At 43.5% G+C, this 11,016-nt stretch overlaps 1 annotated feature.

Moving 5' to 3' along the window:
* Positions 6,249-6,348: a silencer, noted in NCBI's record as "silent region_14805". NCBI's record gives its function as "represses an Ori minimal core promoter by ATAC-STARR-seq in GM12878 lymphoblastoid cells {active_cell/tissue: GM12878}" and the evidence as "EXISTENCE:reporter gene assay evidence [ECO:0000049][PMID:35858748]".

Raw genomic sequence — 11,016 nt, forward strand, 5'->3', positions numbered from 1 at the left:
TGACCAGGCTTTACCTTGGGTCATTCTTGGGATTTTCCACCCTGCCTTAGCATTCTACTGGGCTGATGAGCACAGGGCCAACAATCCACTTGAATAGAGGAAAGGAAAAAGAGAAATACTAGCAAGACAAAACCTAAATTATTATCTCAAAATATCACCCAGCTACATATACATAATATGCTGATGGACCTGAGCTATTGGTGATGATGGGAAAAAAGGGATGAAACGAATTTGTGGATCATACTCAAACACATCAGCCACATGTACAGTTGTCGGCAAAAAGCCATTATAACAAGGTGCTGAACAAAGTTAGTGTGAGTGACATCCAGCTTCTCCTCTCACTGTTCAAACCCAGTAGTGTCTGAGGACAGCTCTGCTCTGAGCAGATTAAGGAAGACACAGAGGCTCTAGAGGATCTCCAGATGGGGGTAAAAAAAACAAAGGGTTAAATAGAGCATTCCAAAACAAACATGATTCTTTAATCTACAGAGAACCAGGAGGCAACAGGATATGGCTGAAGATTCTGGTTTGATCTCATAAAAAAGAAATCAAAACACTTGCAGTACATTCCAATTTAGTCACCACGACATGGAATAACTGCCTTGGCACTCAACTCTTAAAATGCAGGAAAGAGAATTCTAGGACACACCATAATTTATTCCCAGTCTAAGCATCCAAAGATGATTTAGGGAAAAAAAAGAAAGAAAAGAAAAGAAAAGAAGAAAAGAATACATCCAGGGTTTAGAACAATTAATGAGGGAGGACCACTGATATTGGCCCCAGGGGGGCAAATATCCACCTTTCTACAAAATTACCTTTTCCTGTGTTAGAAACATTAATAGTGTGACCTTGACTTTAACCCAATGTATCAGTCAGGGTTCAATCAGAGATCAAATACCTATGTCTACACACACACACACACACACACACACACACACACAAATTTGCTACAGGGATTTGACCTTACATAATTGTTGGAACTAGTTAAACAGTCTCTGTCAGAGAGTCGTCTTTGTGACTGATGCTGGATCTTGAAGTCCACAGAGCAGGCAATCAACAGGGCAGTCAGATTTGGATGTAAAGCCTGAGAGAGAAGAACAAGCTGTAACCCATAAGCACGAATTGGAGCCATGAGGGTGGACTGGAACCCTTTTCATTCTTGTTGCCTCTGACGGTATGGGTGCCTGCAGAAGCTGGAGCCCTTTGTCACGGAGCTAAAGACACACTGGCTGGCCCAGGAGACCCAGGCACTGAAGGAGAATCCTGGGGAAGATGAACAGTTGCAGGCCCAGTAGTCCTGTGTCAGTGAGGGGAGGCAGTGGATAGCAACCGTGCATGCAAGCTAAAAAGCAGATACTCCTTCTCTTCTGCCTCCAAAACTTTCAAGAATCCCTCCTGCGGCGCGCCCTAACAGGAAACACAGGAAAGGGAATTTGGGGAAATGTAGTTCTGTTTAGCCTGGCACATTATCAAACTGCTGTACCCGATGTAGAGAAGAGAGTGGCTTTTTAGTTTTCTTGTCTGTGTGTGTGTGTGGTTTCTTAGTCTAGGTCAGGGTTTCTCAACCTCTACACTACGGAAAACCTGCCACATTCTCCCATGACACGCTGTACGTGTCTGATTGCCTGTGTCACATTAGGTCACCAAACTTGTTCTTCCCCCTGGACTGAGAACTCAGAGACTATCTCATCAACGTTTGCATCTCTTTCAAGCGCTGGGCCTGGCACATGGTAGGTGCTCACTCAGTGGGATGTTATCATTGTTATGATGGTGTGACAAAGTTATTCTGCTCAAGGGAAAATGAAAGGGCTGCTCAAGCATTTTGGAATCGGGCCGTTCATAATAAAAATAACCCCAGACCTTGGTAAGTGATGTGATTGACCAAGTGATTGACCACATGTTCACAGTTGCCCGTTTCTTACCCTCTGCTTTGTCATGACCACACTTTAGTCAGGCCCCAGCTCTGCTTGCCCCAAAGCCTGAGCTGGCATGAAAATCCCCATTATCAGCTTAGCCAGAGAACTGTTCCTGTCAGTCTCTGCCCCCTTGCTTGCCCAACTTCCCGTTTCTGCTAAGCTCTGCCTACCTCTCCCAATAAAAGAAAATCTTTTTCTGTTTGTCTCTGAGACATTTGCAAATTCCTGAGATTGGAGTGTTTTCCCTATTGCAATAGTCCTTTTGAGTAGTGTTTCTCCTTATCTAAGTGCATGTTTGTTTTTATTTGACACAAGCCTATGATATAGAAACAACGATAAGCCCCATTTTGCATAAAAGTAAAGTGAGGCTTAGAAAAAATAAATAACTTTCCCAGGGTCCCATAAACAGCAAATAGGAAATTCAGGATCCAAAGCCAAATAAATGGTCTGACTGAGGGTGAGTCCACTCCCTCCACCACTGAGCTAGATATCTCACCAATTCTAAAATCATCTAGGAAGGAATGCTTGGATTCCTACATAGAACTGAAAATAATAAAAAGTGTTTTTTGTTTTTGCTTGTTGGGGTTGTTTGTTTTGTTTTGTTTTGTTTTTGAGACAGAGTCTCGTTCTGTAGCCCAGGCTGGAGTGCAGTGGCACGATCTCGGCTCACTGCAACCTCCACCTCCCGGGTTCAAGTGATTATCCTGCCTCAGCCTCCCGAGTGGCTGGGATTACAAGGTGCCCACCACCACACCCGGCTAATTTTTGTATTTTTAGTAGAGATGAAGTTTTCACCATGTTGGCCAGGCTGGCCTCTAACTCCTGGCCTCAAGTGATCCACTCGCTTCGGCCTCCCAAAATGTTGGGATTACAGAAGTGAGCCACCGCACCCGGCCAAAGTGTTACTCTTTTTAGTGGCATAATTTTTACTGTTCATTTCACCTGAATTAGGGAAAACTATCAACTAAAATATAATCAATATCAGTATTTTTATATGATTACTCAAAGCACCTCTCATGAAGAGAACTGCACATAGCAGCCTGCACTTATTCCTATGCTTTTTATTTCCCAAGTCATTCTATTTAGTGGTTTTACTTTGTCTGTGTGTAAGAGGCCAGAATGCAGAGACAGGCTTCTATAATCCTCAGAGTTAAAAGAAAAGAAAAGGCAACTCCCTGTGATCTCTGCCTTCTGTGATGGGCTGATCCTGTCCCTTCTCCCCTGCCCACCTTCCCACCAAGAGCTCTCACTCTGGTACAAACATGTCCTTCAGGGATAGCTGTGCTATTATCACCCTACTTGAAAGCTGAGGAAACTGAGGCTTGAAGAGGTTGCACAACAAGCCAAGGACACTGAGCTAGTCATGGCAGAACAGGCATTAAACCTAGGACACCTGTACCTCAAGTCCAAGCTCCCCACCACCTGGCTGTCCTGCCTGTCCCCCTAAGTGTCAACACAAAGACGTCCAATGGCGGAACTACAGCTCTCCTGCACTCCACTGGTCAGGCAAGGAGAAGCTCAAGGAACCAAGCTGTATGAAAAGGAGCAGCAAGTACTGATGAGATGGGGCCAAAGGGGAAAATCCCCTGGAGGCTGATGTCAATGATCAGCCGCTAAACCTCCCAGGCTACTTTTAAACTTGCATAACTTAACTTTCCAGGCTTCTTCCACAGTGCTTTGATTTCAATATTTCCCTGTGTGGCCTTTCCTGGAGCAGGGAGAGAAGGAGAGCTGGGTGCTAACTGTGATACTCAGCAATGGTGTAGCCTTGGAAAACCTCCCCATTTCTTTGGGCCTCAGTTTCCTTCTCAGTAAATGAGAGCAATTGAGTCAGGCTGTTGCTAAGTTCCTCTTTAGTGCTATCATGCTCTGGTTTTGGAGTTGTCATAAGTAGCCTGGGGCCAGGCGCAGTGGCTCATGCCTGTAATCCTAGCACTTTGGGAGGTTGAGGCAGGAGGATCACTTGAGCCCAGGAGTTCGAGGCTGCAGTGAGCTATGACTGCACCAGTGTACTACAGCCTGAGCAACAGAACAAGATCCTGTCTCTAAAAGGAAGAAGAAGAAGGAGGAGGAGGAGGAGGAGAGAAAAGTAGCCTGGGTCTACAGAGCTTAGCTCCTTTGCAGAGCTTTTAAAAATCCCAGTGTCCATTCCCGCCCCACTTCCAGGTATATTAATTTAATTAAGTGAGTTTGGAGGCCAGGCATCAGACATCAGTCCTTTTTATTTTTAACTCACCAGGTGATTCTAATAAGGAAGCAGGTTGGAGAACTGTTCTGGAGTGTTTTCAAACTCGAGTCCTGGGGGGTTTGCTAAACACAGAGTGCCAGCTCCCACCCCAGAGTTGCTGATTCAGTAGGCTTGGGGGTCGAGTATTGCTTCTTTTTTTTTCTTTCTTTTCTTTTCTTTCTTTTCCTTTCTTTTTCTTTTTCTTTAGCTGTCTTTCTCTTTCTTTCCCTCCCTCCTCTTCTTTCCTTCCTTCCTTCTTTTCCCTCCCTCTTTCTTTCTTTCCTTCTTTCTTTCTTTCCTTCCTTCCTTTCCTTCTTTCTTTTCTTTCTTTCTCTCTTCCTCTCTCTCTTTCTTTCTCTCTCTCTCTCTTTCTTTCTTTCTTTTCTTTCTTTCTTTCTTCCTCTTTCTTTTTTGACAGTTTCTCTTTTGTTGCCCAAGCTGGAATGCAATGGTGCTATCTCCATTCACTGCAACCTCCGCCTCATGAGTTCAAGTGATTCTCCTGCCTCAGCCTCCCGAGTAGCGGGATTACAGGTGCACACCACCACGCCCGGCTAATTTTTTGTATTTTTAGTAGAAACAGGGTTTCACCGTGTTAGCCAGCTGGTCTTGAACTCCTGACCTCAGGTGATCCACTTGCCTTGGCCTCCCAAAGTGTTGGGATTACAGGTGTGAGCCACTGCACCCAGCCTCCTTCTTTTTGTAGAGATGGGGCCTTGCTGTGTTGCCCAGGCTGGTCTCCTATCTTGGCCTCAAGCTATCCTCCTACACTGGCCTCCTAAATGCTGGGATTACAGACCTACCCCACCATGCCCTGCTGGACGTTTCTATTAAGTTCCTTAATGATGCTAATGCTGCCAGCCCAGATTCCACACTTTGAGAACTGCAGAAGTGTTTACACTCTCTTAAATAGTACCTACGGTCACATGAATTATTTTTTCCCAGCCTTGGAGAGCCTGAAGATTTCATCGCATTCTTAAAGATCCATGACCCCAGAAAAATTAAGAGCCAGATTAGAGTCTAATTATGCATTGAAAGCTTTTTCTAGGCAGGGTTTCACAGGAGATGATTTTGCAACTGGTTCAGTCTTGGAGTAGTCCCAAGGGTGTATATTTGTGTTTGCTTAAGCACCTGGGCATTGCAGGCTATATGATGCCAACACCCTTACCAGTCCACACTCAGTTTCCTACCAAGAAATTGCAATACTAGGAGCATCAGCTTGGTAAAGAGAGTAAACATGACAACTTTTCCCAGCATCAAATGTGAATATTGTGGAGAGGTAGAAAAACAGGGAGAGGGGAAGAAAGAGAATTCCCGTGATGCTATTGAAGCAGAAATAAAACCTCTGCAGATAATCCTGCTGCCTATTGATGTTGGGGCCACAAACTTGGGAAAATGAATGTTGTGCCATCATAATCACCCTAAGGATCAGTTACATAACATTTAATCATAAATTATACTCATCCAAAATGTGGCATGGGAAGTTCATATGTAAACTTTAATGTATTTTTTTATTCTTTAAAAATTTCCATTTTTGTGAATGTTTTATAATGTACACAATACACTAGAACAGTCATTTTGTATTTAATTTATAACATTAAAAAATAAACAAGCAAACATACATACATCGGGGCTCCATGATGAAAAAAAAAATTGGAGATTACTCCTTAGGTGTCAAACTTGACTGCACCAGAATCACATGGAAGCTCACCGAACAAATGCAGAGTCTCAGACCTCAGTCTCTTTCAGGTTCAGGAGGTCTGAGAAATTCACAGTTACACCAACAACTTGGGAAATTCTAAGGCAGGTGAGCCATTGACTCTACTGTGAACCCTGCTCTGAAAATGACTTTAGTTTTTTTTGTTTTTTTTTCTCTTTGTACTTAATAACTTTATTCTGACTCAAAAGCCATAGAACTCCTCACCAAAGGACACATAGGTCAGTGCAAAGAAGGAAACAAACACGTCTGTATTCTGCATGTCTTTCTCCTTCCCCCTTCAGCAATGCCCCATCCTATTCCCAGCCCTGGTCGGCTGCACCCCCTGAGCCAGGCTCTGGTCACTCACTACACCATGACAAAGCCACCTGCCGCCTGCTAATGGTGACTCGGCTCAGCCATTAGAGGGCAGCAGATAACAGGTCACTAAGCAGATAATTTCTCCGCGAGCAGGTTTGCCCATCTTTCTAAATAATCCAATTTTTCTTGAATATTTTCTCATCAAGGAACATTTTCCAAAAACCTCATAAATGCAAGTCATGGAAGTGACAGCAAACAAGCCCAAGATTGCACTGTCCAAAGGAAAGGTTTCCGTGTTAGGCATGGCTCAAGGTGCTAGGTACAAAGCAAACAAAATCCCTGCTCTCATGCAGCTGACAAGTTAATGGGGGACAATCGAAAAGTAAGTTATCTCTCACTGTTAGATGGTGGTAAACGCTGCGGAGAAAGACATGGCCTGGGCCAAGAGAAGGAAAAGCTCAAAGAAGGGAATGAATATTTATTGACCATCTATGAACGACTGGTTTTCACATAAGTCACTTCTCTTCATCTTCACCACTCTCTCATTGTACCCCTCCCTTTTTTATTATGCCAATTTTACATGTAAAGAAACTGAAGTTCCCACCGGGCACGGTGGCTCACACCTGTAATCCCATCACTTTGGGAGACCGAGGCGGGCGGATCACCTGAGGTCGGGAGTTCGAGACCAGCCTGACCAACATGGTGAAACCCTGTCTCTACTAAAAATATAAAATTAGCTGGGCCTGGTGGTACATGCCTGTAATCCCAGCTACTCCAGAGGCTGAGGCAGGAGAATCACTTGAACCCAGGAGGCGGAGGTTGCGGTGAGAGAAGATCATGGCCATTGCACTCCAGCCTGGGCAACAAGAACAAAACTCCATCTCAAAAAAAAAAAAAAAAAAGAAAGAAAGAAACTTAAGTTCTGAGACTTTAAGAAACTTGGCTAAGGCCACGGCATTAATGAATACCTGCACAGTACTGAACTTCTTAACTTGTTGTCATAATGAAGCCCAGCGCGAATTGTAAAGGAGACTGCCCACACATGCATTTTACTAGTGCTCACACACCTCACCTTCTCCAGGACTCAATATGCTACGTGGAATGTGCCGGGCCTCCTCTTCCCCAATTAATGTTTCACCCTTATTTTGGTACTCTGAAACTCTTATTTTGCTCTATGCTAATCCCATAAATTGGTTCTCATTCTAGAGTGCAGACAGTAATGACTGTTAACTTCTGCTAAGCCCACAAATTAGTTTTCTCCATTTGTAGCCCAATTGATCACATTATCATTCCCCAGGGAAGATATTTGGTGGAGGTGGGGGGCTTTTTCTGGAAAGAGTACTCTAATCCTAATGGTAGAAGTGTCAGCTTTTCTGATTGGGTAGTGAGAAATATGCTTTGTAATTTGGCTTGCTGAAGTTATGCCATTTATAAAGGTTAGAGTCAGAGTTAAAATATCAGTTTCTCAACCTCCTGTCTGTTATAGCTATCAGACTCAGAAGTGCTTTAAGAAAAGGAGTGTGGGCCGGGTGCAGGGGCTCACGCTTATAATCCCAGAACTTTGGGAGTCCAAGGCGGGCGGATCACGAGGTCAGGAGTTTGAGACCAGCCTGGCCAACACAGTGAAACGCCATCTCTACTAAAAATACAAGAATTAGCTGGACGTGGTGGCAGGTGCCTGTAATCCCAGCTACTTGGGAGGCTGAGGAAGGAGAATCACTTGAACCCAGGAGGCAGAGGTTGCAGTGAGCTGAGCTGAGCTAATGCCACTGCACTCCAGCCTGGGCCGTAGAGCTAGACTCCATCTCCAAAAAAAAAAAAAAAAAAAATAGAAAAAAAAGAGTGTGTGTTTGTGTACATGAACAAATGTAGAACATTCGTTCAAACACTAAGGAAGAAGATAGAATGGGAGAGTTTTAGACCATAGCAAAGGGAGGCTTTTATAGGTAAAGAGAATAAAGAATGAGACCTAAAAAGCTTAAGCAGATCTCAGGAGATTACAATTGTATCTATTATTTCTGATAGTGCTGGCATTAGTGCCTGACTTCCAAGACTGAGGTTACTGAGGGTTTCGTTTGTTTGTCTACTCATCTTCAGATCTCATTTCTGAGAAAGCTGAGAAAAGAGATGGAATCGAAAGACTTAGAATTATAAAGATGTCAATTCTGCCTACCTGACTCTTAAAGTGTAATCCTATTCCAATAAAAATACACACACATATAGGAAGTAATGACGCCTAGCTCCAGAACACAGTAGGTTGTCAGCATATATTGTTTCCCTTCCATTTCTCCTCCTGTGCCTTTGTTTACCAGTTTTCCATTCCCAGAAGTCTCTGCCTTGGCTTCCCTGATGTTACCTCACCACCAAGCCCCAAATGATCTTTCTCTCCTAATCTTTATTAGCATTAACTTTGTGCTAAATACACAGTAGTATATAAGCTTTGTGGAGGCAGAGGCCATGGTTTCAATTCCTTCCTATGCTCATAGTACCAAATAGATCCTTGTACAAGGAGAGGGCCGCCAACTCCTCTCCATTTTGGTTCATCTTCACTTTTTCACTTGTTTTCTTTAAGTCACTCTACTATTAAAAATCTTCCTGTGGCTTCTATTGTATAGGATAAACTCCAACTCTGACTCAAAGCATACAAACTTTTTCACGGATTACTCTCCATCAACCTTGTTCGGTCTCAGCTCCCACCTTATTGCCCTCACACTCTCGCTCTCCAGGGCCATAGACCTTCTTGTCACTCCTCTTTTAAAATTCTGTGCTTTCGGGTAGGCTGTCTCCTTTACCTGAAATGCCTGGGAAACTCCTTGGTGAATAAGGCTCAGACATCGGGACCTATTTGCGACTGTTCACAACTCTTTTCCTTCTCTACCTTGAGCTCCTATAACTCTTTGTCCCATAATGTATGGCCCCGATTAAACCATGGGGTTGAGTTTTCTTCATCCTTGTTTTTCCTATGACTATTTAGTGCCTTCAACATGCCAGAAACTCAGCAAGTACTTACTGACGATTCAATTAATGGACTCTCTCTCTCTCCCTCCTGGTTGGTTGGTATTGCTGACTCAGAATATTGGGGGATGTCAATGAAAGAAGGTCTTAAGAATTCTGTATTCTTTAGTTCCCTCAGGAGAAACCAAATCTGACTTAGGGCCAGGGCCCCCAGACCCACCTGACTCTCTCCAACTATGAGAAACACCACTAGCTGCCTGGAAATTTTGGTGAGAGGCTGTTTTAGGAGAAAATGCTGATAATTTCCCAGATTAATGCTTATAATTATTTCTTTTTTATAAATCCTTTGCCCCCACCCAGGGCCCCACACTCAGAAGAGCCCCACGCTTGGTGTAATGCTCTGCTGCCACCATCTTGAAGTTCTTTTAAATTTGAGCAGGGGGCCCCGTATTTTTATTTTTCACTAGGTCCCGCAAATTATGTAGCCCATCCTGCCAATGACTACATGATACATACTTCCCAACGTTTCCTGATTTGACAGTTTTTTTTTGTTGTTGTTGTTGTTGTTGTTTTGGGTTTTGTTTTTTTTTTTTCTTTTTTCTTTTTGACAGAGTCTCACTCTGTCACCAAGCTGGAGTGCAGTGGCATGATCTCGGCTCACTGCAAGCTCTGCCTCCCGGGTTCAAGGGATTCCCCTGCCTCAGCCTCCAGAGTAGCTGGGACTACAGGCGCCCGCCATTACACCCGGCTAATTTTTTGTATTTTAGTAGAGACGGGGTTTCACCATGTTGGCCAGGTTGGTCTTGATCTCCTGACCTCATGATTCGCCCACCTCTGCCTCCCAAAGTGCTGGGACTACAGGCATGAGCCACCATGCGCCTGGCCGATTGGACAGTTTTAACACTGAAATTCCTGAATCTGGAAAAGCCCTTAGTCCTGGGCAAACCAGGAGAGTTGTCACCTTACTTCTGGTCCTCAAACTGCAAACCAATGTGCCATGCATTACTTTGACCTAATGACTTACAAGCAGAAAAGGTTATTTAGGACACGTAAGCTTCCCCAGCATATTCTATCTGTGACCCCTATAAATAAATATTTCTAAACACAATTCTCTGCTAATTACAGTTCAAGGTTTTATCAACTCAAACTTTTAAGTTACAAGAAACCGATTTCAAAAACAGCCAGTAGGAAAAGGTTGCAGAGTCTAGGTCAATGAAAGAGTTCCAGCAAGCCTATGAGCCACTGGGAATTCAGTCATTATTTATCTAAATTTCTGATTTGGAATGAGGTTGGTAAATTAGTCACCAGCCAGTTTCATCTTCTATAAACTTTCCATTCACATTATTGATCCATATTTCTATTGGGCTGTTTGTTTTTTCTATTGGTTTATAAGAGTTTGTTGTATATTCTACACCACCATACCTGGCTAATGTTTATATATTTTTGTAGAGACAAGGTCTCACAATGTTACCCAGGCTGGTCTCAAACTGCTGGGCTCAAGCAATGCTCCCGCCTCAGCCTCCCAAATTGCCAGGATTACAGGCATAAGCCATCGTGCCCAGCAAGAATCCTGTATTTTTGATGGTCTTGTCAAATCTGTGAGGGTGTTGGGAGGACAATGATGTGATATATATATATTTAAAGGTATATGTTTTTATTTTTAAAGGTGTATATATACACCTTTAAAAACCTCAGTGGACATTGTAAATAAAGTGGAAACTAGAATTCTGTGAACATTTAGAATGTTGAAGGCCAGGCACGTGAGCCAAGAAATTGTTTGCCTGCAGATTTTTCTTTCTTTCATTGTCTGCCAGGAGGGTTACATAAGCCTGTCTTCAGTACCACCCAAATCCCCTAGTAAAAGGAACACAGACAAATAATGAAAAGTCAAAAGCTCCAAG

The sequence above is a fragment of the Homo sapiens genome, chromosome 3, assembly GCF_000001405.40.
Source record: "Homo sapiens chromosome 3, GRCh38.p14 Primary Assembly".
In the NCBI taxonomy this organism is placed as follows: domain Eukaryota; kingdom Metazoa; phylum Chordata; class Mammalia; order Primates; family Hominidae; genus Homo; species Homo sapiens.